At 42.8% G+C, this 19,858-nt stretch overlaps 1 protein-coding gene across 6 annotated transcripts in view, besides 1 other annotated feature; it reads right to left on the bottom strand.

Moving 5' to 3' along the window:
• B3GLCT (beta 3-glucosyltransferase) overlaps positions 1–19,858 on the bottom strand; it is a 132,302-nt gene that overhangs the window by 107,372 nt on the left and 5,072 nt on the right. For 3 of the 6 annotated variants that reach the window (NM_194318.4, XM_011534936.2, XM_047430111.1), the window contains exons 2-3: positions 9,805–9,854; positions 1,914–1,953 (exon numbers count right to left, since the gene is read on the bottom strand). In NM_194318.4, the coding sequence (NP_919299.3) occupies positions 1,914–1,953; positions 9,805–9,854 (90 nt within the window). Of the gene's footprint in view, positions 1–1,078; positions 1,172–1,391; positions 1,408–1,913; positions 1,954–9,804; positions 9,855–18,565; positions 18,619–19,858 lie in introns of those variants that run through there. The other 3 variants (XM_006719768.4, XM_047430110.1, XM_011534938.3) reach the window with 3 other exon arrangements.
• Positions 15,388–15,915: an enhancer, noted in NCBI's record as "H3K4me1 hESC enhancer chr13:31783127-31783654 (GRCh37/hg19 assembly coordinates)". NCBI's record gives its function as "activates a minimal SCP1, AML or CMV promoter by ChIP-STARR-seq in naive H9 embryonic stem cells {active_cell/tissue: H9 hESC(naive)}" and the evidence as "EXISTENCE:reporter gene assay evidence [ECO:0000049][PMID:30033119]".

Here is a 19,858-nt window from a genome sequence, read left to right as displayed (position 1 = left end):
GTACTGTAAAGTGCTCATCTTCCTGGTCAGAAATTACCTAGAAAAATGGGTTTCATCATGCTGGTGTTTTTCTGATGAAAAACCAATACGATGTACTTCTGATATAAGCTGTAACAAGCAGCCTTATGATTTAAAGTTGAGGAAAAAATATGCATGCATACACACACACCCACAAACACACACACACAAAGCGGGCCACTCCAATTATGTTTACTTGGTGAGAATAATCATATACTAGTGAATCTATCAATTAGGCAGCAAGCTGAAGGAGAAACAGCATCCCGTGCATGGAGGCTATCTCCCAGCTCTGACTGTGAGCCATGCTCTCGGTGCCCTGAATCTACTGTTGTCACTGCAACTGCCCAGGATCTTTAGTAGCCTCCTGGTCTTGCAGGCTCACACAAAGATTGTGACAAAGAAGTCCCCTGGGTCTTTTTCAGATGAACTGATACCAAGTTAGGTATCACTCGACTTGCCATGTGCAATTGCAAGAATATAAATTTACTTGTCCAAGGTAACTTCCCCTTTGTAGTTTCAAGCCCATGTTCCAGACTTGCATCATTAATTCATTTAATAACCAGAGACTCATCTGCTCCCATAAACTACAAATAAATGCTCAAAGCCACAGAGTTGGTAGCAGGGAAGAAAATCTCCACATGGAAAGGCGTGGCTAAACCATACAGGGTGTTATAATAGAAAGAAAAAGCAACAAATTGACGTGGTTCCTTAAATACAGCTGCTCGCAGACCCCAAAACACTCCCCTGTGGGCCCTAGATATGCGTGCCCAAGACAGGTCATCCTCCCACTTCCACCCGGGGGCGGGGGTCTCTCCTGAACTTCTGCACCCCTCAGAACCCAGGCCCAGGAAGGGAAGGCCTAGAAAGGAACACTTTCCTTTATCCTTTTCCCTCTTATCTAGAGCTCGCCTTCCAGGTCTCCATGGAAAATAGTGGAGAGGAAGCAAGAAGAGCATATTGTTCCCTTCTTGTTTCCTGGAACCCAGGCTTATCCATCATGAAACTGGAGGTGAGCCAACCCCCTGTGTCTGAAGGGAGACTTCTCCCATGGACCGCATACCCCCTGACACCATAGGCTTCCTGTGAGGTTCCACTGCTACTGGTGTCCAGGTCCTGGCTGATTGTGTTCCAGACTTGGGTCATTCCTCCTACCCTGGGAGGAAAGACATTGACAAAATTCACACCCTTCAAGGACAAACTCACCCCTACACACAGAGGTGTGGCCTTACACACTGGGCATGCTTCCCATTAATTTTTTTTTAAAGTCTAACTCCTGGTCACATTTCTGAAGATACTTACAAACTATGGCGGAGAGGGTGTTTCAAAAGGAGTACAAATAAGGAATGGGCAATGATAGAAGTATGATGCCTTACAAAGGAAGGAGTAACGGCTTCCAGGCCAGGATGCTCGGGACAAGTTTGGCAGACGTGACTGGTGAGCTGACTCCTGAAAGGCATGGAGGTGTCTGCAGGTCAGCAAGTGGACAGCCTGCTCCCGGACGGCCTGCGCTAATGTCACAGCTTGTTCTGTTCTCCCACATCATGTGGGTCCTTAATAACAGGGACCATGTCTCCTTCCCCTCTGCATTCCCCCAGAGAGCCCACCAGGCATGGTGCTTTATCCTTACTGGAAGCTCAATGAATGATGCCAGAGGGAATTAAATCCAACATATCTCACTAAGTAAACATAAATCCACCACATGCCAACATGCCCATCTGAGAGGTGTTTGCCCCACATCTTCAGGAGAGCAAACGTTAGGCTGGGCCAAAGACAGAATATTTGAACAACAATATTTACCCCATAAATAAAATCAGAAAAAAATCACTTCATGGAAATATAATTCATACAAAATATACCTAAGTACACACTCTTAGGTAAAAAAAATCATTACTTACCTATGTCATTTTTCCTTGATATACCACTTTTCTCCAAATCCTGTATTTTAAATGAAAGAGAAAAAGATGAATCTCAGTACATAACAAAGCCAGCAGTACACTGAGTAAACATGCATGGTGCATGGTATGTATCAGCACATGGGAGGAAGATTTGAAAAACGGAGCTTGGAAACGCTTCCCTAAAGAAATGAGACCGAAACCTAAGGGACCACGGAGCAATGATGTACTTCTGTATCATGACAGACTTCTTAGTTGGGGCTGTGCCCTTCTCATGTGATCTTGGGCAAGTCAATTGATTGAGCTGAAGCTCTTTCCTATTGTGTAAGATGCAGTGAATGTTTAACTGGTTCATGATATTCTCAGGAGGGTCCATTTTTAAAGCCCTGTAAACCATAAAGCATTAGGAACATATCAGAGGATAGTCTCGAACCTGGCAGGGTGCTCCTCATGAAGATAAGTTCTACTAATTATTGCACTTTATCATCTTTTGGGTGCAGTCATGCTATCTTCAAGAATGTTACCACAATGTTCTCTCCAACCTGAGGAGTAGTCCTAGGGGCCTGCAAAGGGCCTCAGAGGCCAGCCTATGGTGGTCACCAGAATTCAGGAGCACAGAGGCCGGGTGCGGTGGCTCATACCTGTAACCCCAGCACTTTGGGAGGTCGAGGCAGGTGGATCACAAGGTCAGGAGTTCAAGACCAGCCTGGCCAATACGGAAAACCCCACCGCTACTAAAAATACAAAAGTTAGCCGGGCATGATGGCAGGCGCCTGTAGTCCCAGCTAATCAGGAGGCTGAGGCAGGACAATCGCTTGAACCCAGGAGGCGGAGGTTGCAGTGAGCTGAGATCGTGTCACTGCATTCCAGCCTGGGCAACAGAGCAAGACTCCATATCAAAAAAAAAAAAAAAAAAAAAATCAGGAGCACAGAAGGGGCACCTTAAGAGCTGGAGAGCTCCAGACACAGAAATCTGGATGTGGGCACAGAAATACCTGACCTCGACTCTGTGTAAATCAACGGAGGAACTCTCAAAAGATTTATCTGGCAAAGTGCAAAGTGTCAGCAGCTAAATGTGCCATTTTCATTGTCTTCTCTGCAGACTAAGAAGGAATTTTCTCCCTAATTGCCCTTTCTTGCTTTCAACAGTCATATGCTATAATTATGACAACGGGATGGTGGCAAATATCCTTCAATTTTCTTCACAGACTGCAACAAGAAATGTGGTCGTGAGCCCTTACCAACAAAATTGGGAGCGGCTTAAAAGCCAAGAGACGTATCCACAGAGATGCATCCTCTAAGAATACCAAAGGGACCATGACAACACTCGGGGAAGAGAGAGCTAAACACAGGGGAGGGACTACCTTTAGTGGCATATTCTGAAATTATCTTTGTCTCGAGACTAGAAATGCCACTGAGTAGAGGAGAACCTATAGTTATATGCTGATTTGTTAACTCTCACGATGGATCAAGTGACACCTAACTTAATCCTGATGAAACAGGTAGATCTGGAAGAAATTACTAAAAAAGACTGGAAAGTTCAATCCAGTTCCCTGAATGCACTGAACCAAAGCCAGGTTATCACCGTAAGTCAGCATGCGCAGACTTACTCTAAATGCCACTCTTGACCAGGAAGACAACCTGCCCTCAGGGAAGGGGCCAGCCTCAGCTCCAGAGGAGCCATTTGGCTCCACTGGCAACCCACCACTTGCCCCAGGCCAAGCTGCCTTCTGGATGCCACAGCTTTGGCTGCCAGCTGAGGCTCCTGGAAAAATAGAATTGTTAGATCTAAAAACAGCATTGGAGATGATTCAACCCAACACTCCCCTTTTGCAAATGAGATAACAGAGGCTCAGAAAAGATAAATCATTTTCCCAAGGTCCAGCAGTCATTCTGGCCACAGAACCAGAATTACAAACCAGGTCTCCTAACTCGGTCCCAATGCTCTTCCTCACACCGCCATGATAACGCCTGCCCAGCCTTCCTCGGGAAGCATGCTTTAAAAAATACACATCATTAGATGTGAATAGATTTTGAGAGTGAGCTAAAAAATAATATAGAAAGCAAAAGTCACCTTCATCAACAAGTTAAAAGATGAAAAATATCCAGAATGCTACAGTTCTAGACTAAGCAACTGAAGCTGAAAAGCCAACTGGACTTTCCATCAGATAGCTATCTTTGTGAAATCAAAGAATAGCAACAAAAATGATACATCTTTCTCTTTGCCATTAAACACAGCAGCTCTGTTGACTGACACAATAGCTAGGAAATGATTAGCCATTTCAAGGGGTTCAATTTGTAAACTGTAAAAATCAAATATGCAAGAAACAGTTGAATAAGGTGAATTGAGATGGAACCAAAATGGTCTTGACTAATTTCCCCTGTGAGAAAGAAAATTAGACTAAATTAACAGAACAATTAAAATTCTGTCTCCAGCTTCCCTTGTGAAAAGACTTAGTTCTTCCTAAAATGAAGGAAACACATGGTTTGTTTTATTATTTCTGCTACCAGATGTTTCTTACGCTATCAATATCAATCAAAATGTGCTCACTGTCAAGGTTTTATAAGTCAACTGAATTGCTATTCAGATACGAAAGAGATTTGCCATTAATCTCTACCCCACAGAAAGCTCCTATGCTAGCCAGGAAAAGGCACATTAAAGTCACCCTTTGACACAGGTTTTATTTTTTAAGTCACAAAAGATTTGAACAACACTTGCAATCCATACATGTAATGCTTAGTTCATAAGTCCTTCATTAAAAGAAGATATGACACCCTCGAAAGAATTTTATATGGAATCTTTTAAAGGGAAGAGAAGTAAAATGGAATCTTCCACCCAGTCACAAGTACCCACCACTGCCCTAGAGATTCTGAATAAAATAATGAGATGTGTTCATGATTACACTCAGTCGGCCCTGGGCTCTAATTCTGCCTGCACCACCAACTAGCTCAGGCCTGTTTCAACTGGAATAGGAATAATAATGACAAGACCCACTTCACAGGATTGTGTTGTAGGTTGAACAAGATAGTAAAATGCTGAGCACAGGGTCTGCACAAAGCAAATGCTCAATAATATTGGCACCTACCCTTTTTTCATCATTATCATCAACTACTTCATATGAAGTCAACTACCTCCATAAAACAAATGTAACAGACAAAAGCAGTTCCTCTTTACTTTGATTTGTTCAGGTAGGAAAGATGGCTTATGCAACCTCTTAAAAGGCTGCTTATAGGAATTGTTCTTGTCTTATCAGGTAAACGTTTAAACAGGACCTGGCATTGTTCTAAGCTATAAACAGGCACACTTAATCTTCAAAACAGCCCTGTGAGGTAGGTCCTACTACCCCATCTTACAGATGAGGAGGCTGAGCACAGCGAGGTTCACTAAGCCCCACAACTGGCTAGTGGTGGAGAAGAGATGAACTTCAACACTTTGGTTCTCGTGACCAGTGTTAACCTTATGCCTGTCATTCAGAGCTCAAAGTCACAAGGACTTTGAGTGCTACCACAGGATTAGGTAGCACTTTAAATGTGTCACAAATGATCCTCATTATTGCCAAATACACACATCATAATGCACAGGGCTGTGTAATATAAAACAGTAAAGTGAGAAATATTCAATGATTCAGAAAATTTGGATTCTAACTTTACTTTTTAATAATCACGTGTTTAGGTGATGAATCGCATTTATTGATTTGCTTATGATGAACCAACCTTGCCTCCTAAGAATAAAGCCTACTTAACTGTGGTGGATTAGCTTTTGATGTGCTGCTGAATTTGGTTTGCTAGCGTTTTTGTTGAAGATTTTTACATCTATGTTCATCAGGGATACTGGCCTGACGTTTTCTTTTTTTGTTGTGTCTCTGCCAGGTTTTGGTATCAGAATGATACTGGCCTCACAGAATGAGTTAGGGAGCAGTCCCTCTTCCTCAATTTTTTGGAAGGGTTTCACTAGGACTGGAACCAGCGCTTTACACATCTGGTAGAATTTGGCTATGAATCTATCTGTCCAGGGCTTTTTCAAAAACCACATGATCACCTGAATAGAAGCAAAAAAAAAAAAAGGGCTTCTGATAAAATTCAGCATCCTTTCATGTTAAAAACTATCAACAAATTAGGCATCAAAGGTACACACCTCAAAATAATAAAAGCCGTCTATGACAAACCCATAGCTAACATCATACGGAATGGGTAAAAGCTGGAAGCTTTCCCCTTGAAAACAGGAACAAGACAAGGATGCCCACTCTCACCACTCCTATTCAATATAGTATTGGAAGTCTAGCCAGAGCAATCAGAGAAGATAAAGAAATAAAGGCATCCAAACAGGAAAAGAGGAAGTCAAAGTGTCTCTCTTCACAGACAGTAAGATACTATACCTAGAAAAGATCTCTAATAATCTTCAGCAAAGTTTCAGGATACAAAATCAATGTGCAAAAATCAGTAGCATTTCCATACACAAATAACATCCACGCTGACAGCAAATTAAGAAAGCAATCCCATTCACAAAAAGGCCCGGCGTGGTGGCTCACACCTGTAATCCCAGCACTTTGGGAGGCTGAGGCAGGCGGATCACTGGTGGTCAGGAGTCTGAGACCAGCCTGAGCAACATAGTGAAATTCTCTACTAAAAATACAGAAATTAGTCAGATGTGGTGGCAGGCGCCTATAATCCCAGCTACTCGGGAGGCTGAGGCAGGAGAATCGCTTGAATCCAGGAGGCGGAGGTTGTAGTGAGCTGAGATCACGCCACTGCATGCTAGCCTGGGTGATAAGAGTGAGACTCCATCTCAAAAAAAAAAAAAAAAAAAGTAGCCACAAAAAGAATAAAACACCTAGGAATACAGCTAACCAGGGAAGTAAAAGATCTCTGTGAGCATTACAAAACACTGCTGAAAAAAATCAGAGACAACAAAACAAATGGAAAAACATTCCTTGTTCATGAATAGGAAGAATAAATATTGTTAAAATGGCCATATTGCCCAAAGCAATTTACAGATTCAATGTTATTTCTATCAAACTACCAATGACATTTTTCATAGAATTAGAAAAAAAATTCTAAAATTCATTTGGAAACAAAAAGAGCCCAAGTAGCCAAAGCAATCCTAAGCCAAAGAAACAAAGCTGGAGGCATCATATTACCTGACTTCAAACTATATTTCAAGGCTACAGTAACCAAACAGCATGGTACTTCTACAGAAACAGACACATAGACCAATGGAACAGGTTAGAGAACCCAGAAATAAAGCCACACACCTACAACCATCTGATCTTTGACAAAAACAAGCAATGGGGAAAGGACTCACTATTCAATAAATGGTGCTGGGATAATTGGCTAGCCATATACAGAAGATTGACACTGGACCCCTTCCTTACACCACACACAAAAATCAACTCAAGATGAATTAAAGACTTACATGTAAAACCTAAAACTATAAAAGCCCTACAAGAAAACATAGGAAATACCATCTGGGCATTGGTCTGTGCAAAGACTTCATGAAGACTACAAAAGCAACTGCAAAACAACAAAATTTGACCAGTGGGCCTAATTAAATGAAAGAGCTTCTCCACAGCAAAAGAAATTATCAACAGAGTAAACAGATAACCTACAGAATGGGAGAAAATATTTGCAAACTATGCATCTGACAAAGGGCTAATATCCAGAATCTATAAGGAATGTAAGCTAATCAACAAGCAAAAAACAACCCCATTTAAAAAATGGGTAAAGGACGTGAACAGACACTTCTCAAAAGAAGACATACATGCAGCCAACAAGCATATGAAAAAAATGCTCAACATCACTAATCATTAGGGAAATGTAAATCAAAACCACAATGAAATACCATCTCGCACTAGTCAGAATGGCTATTACTATTAAAAAGTCAAAAAATAACAGATGCTGGCAAGGTTGCAGAGAAAAGGGAACACTTACATATGGCTGGTGAGAATGTAAATTAGTTCAGCCACTGCAGAAAGAGATTTTTCAAACAACATAAAATAGAACTACCATTCAACTCAGCAATTTCATTACTGGGTATATACCCAAAGGAATATAAATTGTTCTGCCATAAAGACACATGCACACATATATTCATCACAGCACTATTCACAATAGCAAAGACATGGAATCAACCTAGATGCCCATCAGCAGTAGACTGGATAAAGAAAATGTGGTATGGATACACCATGGAATACTACACAGCCATAAAAAAGAATGAGAACATGGCCTTTGCAGCAACATGGATGGAGCTGGAGGCCGTTAGCCTAACCCAATTAATGCAGAAACAGAAAATGAAAACCCACAAGTTCTCACTTATAAGTGGGAGCTAAACACAGTGTACACATGGACACAAATAAGGGAACAATAGACACTGGGGTCTATTTGAGAGTGGCGGGTGGGAGGAGAGCAAGGATTGAAAAACTACCTATTGGGTACTATGCTTCTTACCTAGGTGACAAAATAATCTATCCATCAAACCCCTATGACATGCAATCTACCCATGTAACAAACCTGCACATGTACCCCTTGACCTAAAACACAAGTTGAAAAGAAAAACAAACAAACAAACCTGCACATGTACCCCTTGACCTAAAACACAAGTTGAAAAGAAAAAAAAATCATGTGACCTTGGTCAAATCACATAACTTCCCTGACGCTAAGTTTTCTCTGTTGTAAATGGGAATATTTGCTTTAACAAATAACAGGATCATTAAGAAGATTAAATTAAATGTGTGAAATGCTTTATTAATCATAAAAGGTCCTAAAATCGTAAGAAATTAGTATTATCATTTCCCCTGTGTAAGAATCTCATAGTACAGTTAAAACAGATAATAAACACCCTGTTGATAAAGAAACATTCTATTAAAAAAATGCTTTTACACCAATTGTGGGGTAAAAATAGTCAACTGAGCTTTAATATGACAAAAACAACTGATATTTTAAACTACTGTTTCCTTTTTTACATGCTAAACTGATCTAGTGCAAAGCCCAACTAGTAAACATTTAGAGACATTCCCTGACTACAACCAGTGATTTAAAAGCAGCAGCTCTGAGATTGGGATAAGTACTGCCTGCTCTCTGCGAGTCCCCTGGCCTAGCTTTCTGGTTCTGACTCTCTGGTAGCATAGTCACCTTTGGGTCTCCCGCCCAGGCCCCAGCATGCCCTCTCACACATTGCCACCTTCAAGGAGAGACTAATCAGGTTTCTGTGACACCTGTGACATAGTAAAATCCTTTCATAGACTGAGAAAATTAAACCCAAGGTTAAGATATTTGGTAAGACTGGGCCGGGTGCGGTGGCTCATGCCTGTAATCCCAGCACTTTGGGAGGCTGAGGTGGGTGGATCACTTGAGGTCAGGAATTTGAGATCAGCCTGGGCAACATGATGAAACCCCGTCTCCACTAAAAACGCAAAAATTAGCCGGGCATGGTGGCGCATGCCTGTATTCCCAGCTACTGGGGAGGCTGAGACAGGAGAATCGCTTGAACCCAGGAGGCAGAGGTTGCAGTGATCTGAGATCGTGCCACTGCACTCCAGCCTGGGCGACAGAGTGAAACTCCGTCGCAAAAAAGAAATAAAAAAAGGTATTTGGTAAGACTGGGGAAAACTATGGTATCCAAGCAAGACTATTAAAATGTCCAACTCTATGTCAAAACACGTTTTTTCTCAAAATAACTTTAAAACCAAGTGGATCAGCCTTAAATATTAAAGGATTTGTAAAAAGCAAGTCTATCTTATAGGTTGCATTAGGGATTCAAAATCCATGTTGACCACATTATATGAATTATGTAACAATAAAAATAACAATTGAAGAATGAAATGATTACTATTCCTATCAGAGAAAATACAAATGAATCTTAGAAGGGAGGAAAAGATTTGATCATTGGGATTAGTACCTGAGACTGCTTGACCTCTTTCTTTGTATCTTCAGAAGCCAAACCAAAAGCTGGAAAAAAAAAAAAAAGAAATATTTCTACCTTAGAATTAGCAATTCAGGTTAATTCTCACATCCAACAGTTTTGCTTATAATAAAAAAAGATACTTTAACAAGACATATTTTGCTCATTTTTAAGCAGCTGCATTGCTGCAAACTTGTATTACTGGCTTTCTTCATCTCAGACCTAAAATTATTCATCAACACGAAGCCAACACGCTTAGGCTACCAAGCAAAAGAAACAGTACATCAGACAAATTCAAATCTGTGTATGCCATTTGTGTCTATAGACATAAACTATAAAATAGATGTGTACAAAATACTATTTCTTAGAAACCTTAAGTCTGGTGCCTTCTTAAGCAAAGGGGAATTCCTGAGAATCCAGGAGGAAGAAGTACAGATTCTCACCCTCAAAATCACTGCCAGAGCCTGGCAGGCAACAGAGCTAAATTTGGAGCAAGCTTTTTCCTAAGGGCTGCAAGGTTAGAAGTGTGATGCAGATACTGCTACCAGCAAGCACAGAACCCTACTAAACCCTAACAGAACCCTACTAAGGCAATGGGGCCGGGAGAGTGAGGGGAATTAAAATCATTCTCCATTTAGAATGAATGAATGTTTGGAGTCAGAGCCATCACAGACGAAGATATCCCTAGAGCCACATTTAGGCTCTGCATTAAAAATAATAACAACAACATGACAGTAACACTCTGAAAATATAAAGCAAAATGACAAGCCAAACAGGAAGCTTAACAGAACAAAAAATAGTACCCTTCATTTTACAGTACATTTCTCCCCAACAGCTAAGAGGAAAGCATTGCAGAGTTCACTTTCTCCAATTAGCACTCCCAGGAGTAAAAGGCAATGACATAGGGCAGTGATGTACTAAAAGGGTGGGAGAAGTGACACCATGGAACAATAATGTACAAGGAGTGTCAGCAGAGGGGCTCCCTGGGTGGCAGAGGAGACCTTAATCAGAAGCAGGAGACGACTTCATCCATTTGGATCCCTTCTAATCCCTCCCCATCCCCACCCCCAGACATCCATTGCCTCAAATCCTGCATTAACATTTGCTCAAAAGAAAGAAATCTAAAACATCTTCACACTAAGAAGCAAATGACTAACATGGTTTCATCGTTTCCATTTCCAGAATGACATTTCAAAAGGCAGGGTGAAACTGAAATGTAAGCCATGTGAACCTCTATGTGAACAATTTAGATAACAGTAGACATTATACAAGGCCTCCCCAAGACCACCTCATGTAAAATAATAAATCCCCAATTCCACACCCTCCTTATCCACCTCACTCTGCTTTACTCTTCTCCAGAGCACTTATCACCAACTGACATATATATTTGTTTATCACTTATCTTACATGTCAGCTGATTATAAGCTCCACAAGGGCAGGAATACAGTTATAGTGAGTTTTGGCGGGGGGGGGGGGTGGGGTGGGGGGGTGTTGTTTTGTTTTTGTTTTTTGAGATGGGGTCTCACTCTGTTGCCCAGGCTAGACTGCAATGGCACAATCTCAGCTCACTGCAACCTTCATTCCTGGGCTCATGATCCTCCCACCTCAGCCTCCCGAGTAGCTGGGACTACAGGCATGTGCCACCATGCCCAGCTAATTTTTGTGTTTTTTGTGGAGACAAGGTTTCAACATGTTACTCAGGCTGGCCTCAAATTCCTGGGCTCAGGCAAGCCGCCCAACTCAGCACCCCAAAGTGCTAGGATTACAGGCCTGAGCCACCACCCCACCAGGAATACAGTTTTATCTACCATTTGTCTCCACACCAAAAGCACAGCTAGCACATAGAAGAAACTCAATAAATATTTACTTAATAAATGAATGAGTGAAAGTCTTCACTATGGGGGACCCTAGAGTCACATCACAAAAGGACCACCTGCTCTCTATACCAGGCAGCGCCTACCCAGTAGAACAAAGACGTTTAGTGCCCCTCACCTTTATTTTCACCAGGATCTAATGCATTTTCTCACTTTACACACACATACACACACACGCGCACGCGTGCACACACACACACACACAAAGCCCAATCATTTCTTCAAGTTCTAAGAAGAAAGGAGAGATTAAACTGCAAAGTCATTTAAATTCTGCTTCTGGGTACTTAATTTTTTGGCTTTATTTTATTTACCTCTAAGCTAATATGCACATTTAAAACCCTGAAGAAGATATCAAAAACAGAATTACTTAAGGAATATCATACAGAGAGGTTGCAACATGTTAACATATCTTAGCACCACAGAATTCCAGAAAATAGAATATTCTGAGAACTTGCAAGATATAAAAACTGTGGTCAAACTAACTCATGACTTTGATTCAAAAATCCATCTCCCACTGAGCGTGGTGGCTCACATCTGTGTAATCCCAGCACTTCGGGAGGCCAAGGCAGGAGGACCCCTTGAAGCCAGGAGCTTGAAACCAGCCTGGGCAGTATAGGGAGGCCCTGTCTCTACAAAATTAGCCAGACATGCGGCCGGACCCAGTGGCCCACGCCTGTAATCCCAGCACTTTGGGAGGCCGAGGTGGGCGGATCACGAGGTCAGGAGTTTGAGACCAGCTTGGCCAAAACAGTGAAACCCCATCTCTACTAAAAATACAAAAATTAGCCAGGCATGGTGGCAGATGTCTGTAGTCCCAGCTACTCGGGAGGCTGAGGCAGGAGAATCGCTTGAACCCAGGAGACAGGGCTTGCAGTGAGCCAAGATCATGCCACTGCACTCCAGCCTGGGCGACAGAGCAAGACTCCGTCTTAAAAAAAAAAAAAAAAAAAAAAAAAGCCAGTTATGCTAGAGCATGCCTGTCATCCCAGCTAGTTAGGAAGACAAGGTGGGAGGATCCTTTGAGCCCAGGAGTCCAAGTTTGCAGTGAGCTATAATCATGCCACTATATTCCAGCCTGGACAAGAGCGAGACTCTGTCTCAAAAAAAAAAAAAATTTTCCATCTACCCCTCCCGAATTAATTCCAAATTTCAAACAGGACAGTCAAATATCTCTGGGGTTACAATTTCCTCTTTAATCAAATAAGATAACTTTCTTAATGTAACAGGTCCAGTAGCATCATCTAATAACAGTGTTTGCTTTTACCTCACTTTTTTGCGAGGCCAGACAGCTATATGACAACAAAGTGCATGTGAACACAAAAGTCCCTAGCCCTTAGAATGTAGAATATAGTGCAGGGAAGGTATCTTTATTTGGTACTGGTTCTGAAAATTACTAATGTATCACCTTTTGTGAGTAAGTAGCTAATATTTGATGATGTAACTGTTTAAAGTAGGAATTACATACAGGAAAGATATTGCCAATATGTCAAATAAATTCCATAAATTCTGCTTGTCGTAATCAACACACCATTCCTTTAGCCAGACAAAGCTTAACTGAGCTAAGTTAAACTAGATTCTAGCTCTGTCCAAAAATATAGACCTAGAGTTAAAATATCCCTTTAAAAAAAAAAAAACCCAAACCAAAAAAGTCTGTCATTTCTTATCACTCTGCTGTGAAATTTAAAATACCTTTTTCCCATGATAGATACAAATTATAATATTTAAAACAATGACATAAAAAATGCATCAGAGTTACTTTCAGTTGTAGGAGCAAATCATAAAACAAGATAATCCTTAGAAAAAATTCCAGTTGTTTTTTGTTTTGTTTTGAGACAGGTCTCACTCTGTTGCCCAGAGTGGAGTGCAGTGGCACTATCTCAACTCAACGCAACCTCCACCTCCCAGGTTCAAGCGATTCTCTCCTACCTTAGCCTCCGAGTAGCTGGGGTTACAGGCACGTGCCACCATGCCCAGCTAATTTTTGTATTTTTAGTAGAGATGGGGTTTTGCCATGTTGGCCAGGCTAGTCTCAAACTCCTGACCTCAGGTGATCCACCCACCTCGGCCTCCCAAAGTGCTGAGATTACAGGCATGAACCACCATGCCCGGCTGCCAGTTGGTTTTATCTTTAAATTTGTGTAATCTAAATAAATCAAAAGAAATCATCAAGGAACCAAACGTGGCCGGACGTGGTGGCACGTGCCTGTAATTCTAGCACTTCGGGAGGCTGAGGCAGGAGGATCGCTTGAGGTCAAAAGGGCAAGATGGTGGGACCCCATCTCTCCAAAAAAAGAAAAAGAAAAAATTAATGCTTAGCCAGGCTTGCTAGTGCACACCTGTAGTCCCAGCTACTTGGGAGGCTGAGGTGGGAGGACTCCTTGTATCCAAAAGTTCCAGGCTGCAGTAAACTATGATCATGCCACTTCACTCCAGCCTGGGTGACAGAGACCCTGCCTCTTAAAAAAATAAAAATAAAAATAAAAAGGAACCAAATATATTGTGAAGGCACTGAATATGCTATACCACTAATAAATCCAATATTAAAATAACTAACCATTTACAGAATTCTTATCCATAAAAATCCTGGTTTCATGGAAATGAAAGAGAGATGGTGCAAAGAGATGAGCAAAGTGAGAAAAATTAGCAAGGGAGGTAAGAAATTGCCTGTCACCTTCAACAATGCTAACGAGTGCATACTGCAATTTGAGTCTGGGCTGGTGACTGACAAAGAAAAGAAGGAGTGAGGGAAAGATCCCTCCAACCTGGCCCCAACCAAAGGGGTACACAGGAGTGGCTACCTGAGGCTCAATGTTTGCTGTTTGCTTCATATTAATTTCCAGATTCAGTAGGGAAAATATTGTTGAAAATTTGGCCTTAGTGCTTTAATGTGCAGTTGGAGAAATATTCCAGGGTAAATCATGCTTTTACATGCCAAACTGCTGTTTAAAAGTAATTTCCCCTTTTCCATTTTCAACATGAATTCTGGTAAACTGCAACAGGGAACTATATTTAAAGTGCAAATCAGGGCAGGCAATAGAAATCAGACCTTTTTCATGATAACTTTAAATAATTCAAGCCAACAAATGTGTTAGCACATCTAGACAGAGAGATAAATCAAGATTTTACAACTAACCTGGGACTAAGATTTATAGGCCAGCCTAAGCCCCGGAGTGCAAGAAAACTGGCGAGTAATTAATTGCAACACATTTAAGCAGCACTAATCAACTCTCTTTCCCTGTTCCTGTGAGGGAGCAAGGGACCCCCATTCCCACGCAGGAAAGATGATTGTGCCTTCTACCTCCTAACTTGATTTTGTCCCAATTCTCTTAATTTGTTTTCCCAAACTTTCCCAGGAACATCTATCATAGAAACCAAACGGAACAGTAAAAACAAGAAAACCACTAAGCTGCCAAATAACTCCACCTCAGAGGGCGCTGGCAGGAACCAATGAGATAATGCCTAAACTTTTGGCATCAGCTCAGAATATATAAAAAAGCTCAGCCAATAGCTGTGGCCATGCTGGTGACCACAATGATAATGACTGGCAGTCTGGGAAGTGTCTAGGTGGTTGCCTGCCCTGCACAAAAGCCAGGAGAGCATAAAACCCGGTACCTGTGGCTCTGCCACCCAGGCCAAAGCTCACAGAGAGCCGTCTTGGAAGCACACATGGCTCAGGCGCTCCTTCCAGGCTATGCAGGCTGCCACTTCTTTTCTAACACGCTGGGGGAGGAAGCCTTTGGGGCTTCACTTTCTTTCCTGTGACCTACTTACAAAGCATGTCACCCAGCTGGCTCCAGCCTCCAGCAGCTGCCTCTCCGTGGAGCTTTCCAGGATTAATTCCAGGTCCTCCAGGGGGCCTTAAGCTCCAGGATGCATGGCGCATAGCCAACTTACTTGTTTCCAAGTACCCACTTTGAAGATAATCCATGGTAGCAGAGGGACAGAAACAAACACCCCTGCAGCCCAGCGACAGAGGTAAAGTCTGCCTTTTCTCCACCCTACTGGGACAAATCCACTGTCCCCTGTCCCCACAGTAGCAGACAAGCTGGGTAGCAGCTCCATCTACCATGGGACAGCACCTCCAACCATGGGATGGAAGGCCCTGTCACTCCGTACGTTTTTTAAGGGGCATCGGATTTTATTCTCTCCCTCTTGGGTTTTATACAGGGCAGGCCAATGGCAGGGTCAACACACTTGGTGGCAGAAATACCTCAGAAGAGGGAGTGACCCAGGCAGGGTCCCTTGAGGGGAGGGGGTGACCCGGCCGGGCAGGGACCCCTCTGAGGAGGGGGTGACCCGGGCAGGAACCCCTGTGGGGACGGGTGGCTGGGGCTAGAAATGAGGCTGAAGGTACCAGGGGCCATATCATGGGAGGGGGTGGTATTGGGGAGTCAGGTTTTTCCTGAGCCAGGAACAGCTGTTTGAGGTTTTAAGGAGGGAATGCCCTGTTGAGATGTGTGCCCAAGACAGCTTTCTGGAGGCAGTGTGTGGGACGGCTGTGGGAGGACAAGAAAGGACACAAACATGCCAGTGGGAAGGCCACTGGAGTCAAGCAAAGAGCGCTAAGGGCCTCAATGAAGGTGGCAGTGAGCGGGGGGGGGGGGCCACTAAAGAAGCAGAAGCTGCAGGCTCTGAGACAGAGCACCCGGGTGGGGGGTGAGACGGGAAGGGAGGGCCTGGGGCTTCCTAGAATAAAGGAGGGTAGCACGTGTGAGGGAAGGCAACTTGGTGCCCAGCGTCCTGAGGATACGCAAGTGCAGACAGGCAGGAGAGCCGGGTGCAGGGGTGAGCCCAGCACAGGGGTGTGCGTGCAATAGCGGCTGCAGCACTAGAGTCTCCACAGCGCACCAGAACGGAAGCCAAGGCTCGTGAGGCCAAGGACGGCTCAGGGGAACTGCAACATTTAAGGACAAAACTGCAAAGGAGACAAAAGGAATGGCCAGATGGGGAGGAGAAGCAGGAGAGAAGGCAGCTGTTTAATGAATCCTTTCAAAGAACTCTCTCCTTAAAGCTGCACTGTACAACAGAAAGATGTGGCAGTAGAGGAGACCCGGGCCGGGGCCCTGCCTGAGAAGTCATACAGCATAAGGTCAAAGTACAGAGTACTTTGTACTGTGTACAGAGTACAAAGTACAAAGACAAAGTATACTCAAACCTCCTAGGTTCAAATCCGAGCGCTGCCACTTAATAGTTAAGCAACCTCTCTGAGCCTCTGTTTCCCTCCCTGTAGAGGGAAGAAATGGAACAAGAATTAAGTGAGTTCATGTATGTTCAGGTTCAAAACAGTACCTGGCCTATGGTAAAACCTATTGAGCCTTTTGCTCAAGTGCCAAACAGTAAACTCTTAGGAAAAGAGATCTGCTGCTGGGAAAGATGCCAGGACAATTCAGCCAGTGGAGAGAAGTAGTGAGGAAGGAGGCCAAGCCTCCCACCACACTGAGGCAGCAAGCATGCAGACACAATATTCCTGCTTTGAGCCTACTATCGACTCAGATATGATCTAGTTCCATCTGAAACTCCTCTCCTGTTTTATTACAGAAGTCATGGGAAACACTGGAATATTAGCTTTTCTTCACTTGACAACAAAGTTTGATGAGACCAACATATTCTATGGGCCAGAGAGTAAATATATTTTACAGGAAGCACAGTAGATAGTGAAAAAAAAAGAGAAAAATAGAAAATAACTATATATATTCAAGAGGGAAAAGATCATTTCATACTTTGATTTGCATCTTGTTTAAAAACCGTCACTCAGGATATGCAAACCAGAAAATTGCAACTCAAAACAGTCTTGGGGGTGAGATTTAAAACCCCACCCTCACTAGCATGTTCCATAGCCTAAGTCATAGGAAGGGTCAGAAAAATCCCTGGTCACACAGCCTACTACAGAACACATCAAAGAGGAACACAGCAAACATTCAAACAAAAAAAAAAAATTAGCAGTTTACGCGATTCCTTTAAATTGCAAGTGTACTATGGAACAGTTAACTGTCAGGCTTAACTTATAAAAATATAATTTATGATTAACTTTTGGGCATCTTATTAATTACAAGAAGTAGGTCTTTAAAAGTACCCCCTTAGTGTGCAGATGGGTAGGTAGATGGATAAACAGACATACAGATAAAGTAAGTACCCCTTTCAGTACCACTCAATCCATGGTACACACAATCTGAGACGCTCTAAGCCTTTAGAAACTTATTTGTATATTGCCCAAAAACCTTTGCTTTAACAACTCACGGCTCTAACTTTTGATACTCATGCTCCACGGACTATGGTCTCCTCAGCAGCATTTAAAAATTTGCCAAATGATCCTGGAGCCTGAGACAGACTTCATAGTTTTAGTTCTGGTGTTTCCAGTTCCTTTCCCAAGTACACAAAAGACCTGACTGAGGAGTAGGCCTCAATGCCACACTTTGCTCTCTCCAGAACAACTCCTTACTTTAAGGCAAAACAACCACCGATCATCTTTTGTTTTTTTTTGTTTTCTGAGATGGAGTCTCGCACTGTCGCCCGGGCTGGAGTGCAATGGCATGATCTTGGCTCACTGCAACCTCCGATTCTCCTGCCTCAGCCTCTCGAGTAGCTGGGATTACAAGCACCCGCCACCATGCCCGGCTACCTTTTTTTTTTTTTTTTTTTGCATTTTTAGTAGAGACAGGGTTTCACTATGTTGACCAGGCTGGTCTCGAACCCCTGACCTCGTGATCCGCCCACCTCAGCCTCCCAAAGTGCTGGGATTACAGGCGTGAGCCACTGCGCCCGGGCTTGATCATCTTTATATTCCACAGATGTTCACAGAAATCACCCAGTAAGAGTCCTAGTTTATATCCGGGCCTATGGTGGCCCAGGCAGGGTTCTCACACCTGGCTTCACAGAAAACTTACCTGGAAGTCTCATTTCAGATCTTCTGAATCAGAAAATCTGGAGCTGGAACGCAGGAATCTGCATTTTAACAAATACAGGCTTCTTTAGGACACACAGATGATTCTCATGTGTGCTGAAGTCTGACACACACTGGGAAGGGCAACTAGACAGGAACTCAAGGGAACTGAATGGGGCTATTTTCACAACGGGCTGAGGCCATTTAACGTCCTTTACTTCATTTAGCTCGTAAACGAAAAACAAGCTCCTCCATATCCCCCATCAAGGATCTGGAGAAGATAAATTCAACGTGATGTGTAAAGAGCCTTGAGTTTCTTACGGGAAGCAATGATATAAACTAAAATATATCATCTTTTCAGCTACATAAAATATTCTTTTAGGAGTGAAAATAAGTCATATCCCTAGGAGGAAATGGCACTGCTATACTTAAGATACATTCAACTCTTATTTGATGATACTTATACTTGTTTTTGTTTTTATTTTTGTTTTGTCTAAACCCTCAGCTTTACAACATGCAGATATATGTAGATAAAGACTGCTTTCCTCTCCAACTTCTACCAAATCTTTGGTATATACACATTTTGAGTAAATGCTTAAATGAATTTATTCTGTTAAGCAAGACTCTCTTCCTTAAAAACAAACAAACATAAAACAGCCAAGTGCAGTGGAACATTCCTGTAGTCCCAGTTGCTTGGGAGGCTAAGGCAGACAGATGACTTGAGGCCAGGAGTTCAGGTCCAGCCTGGGCAATATAGCCAGACCCGCCAACTTTTTTTTTTCTTTTAGACGGAGTCTCACTCTGTCACCCAGGCTGAAGTGCAGTGGTGCAATCTTTGCTCACTACAACCTCGGCCTCCTGGGTTCAAGCGATTGTCCTGCCTCAGCCTCCTAAGTAGCTGGGACTACAAACACACGCCACCATGCGCGGGTAATTTTTTTGTATTTTTAGTAGAGATGGGGTTTCACCTTGTTGGCCAGGCTGGTCCTGAACTCCTGACCTCAAATGATCTGCCTGCCTCAGCCTCCTAAAGTGCTGAAATTACAGGTGTGAGCCACCATGCCCGACCAGACACCCAACTCTTAAAAAAAAAAACAAAAAAAAAAAACCTACTCAAATTGCCACCTAATATAATGACCCCCCAAAATACCTTCCAGCCAGACCTGTCCTCTACAGACCCAAATATCTAACTGCTCACCTAACATGGTACCTGGCCATCTCACATGCATTTTGAACTCAACTTGTCCAAAACTGAACTTACTCAGCTTCACCTCCCCCTAAAATTAAAAGTCAAAGT

Source organism: Homo sapiens, chromosome 13, assembly GCF_000001405.40.
Source record: "Homo sapiens chromosome 13, GRCh38.p14 Primary Assembly".
NCBI classification, from domain to species: domain Eukaryota; kingdom Metazoa; phylum Chordata; class Mammalia; order Primates; family Hominidae; genus Homo; species Homo sapiens.
The sequence above is the reverse complement of the archived record's forward strand: the minus strand, read 5'-3'. Positions and strand labels throughout refer to the sequence as shown.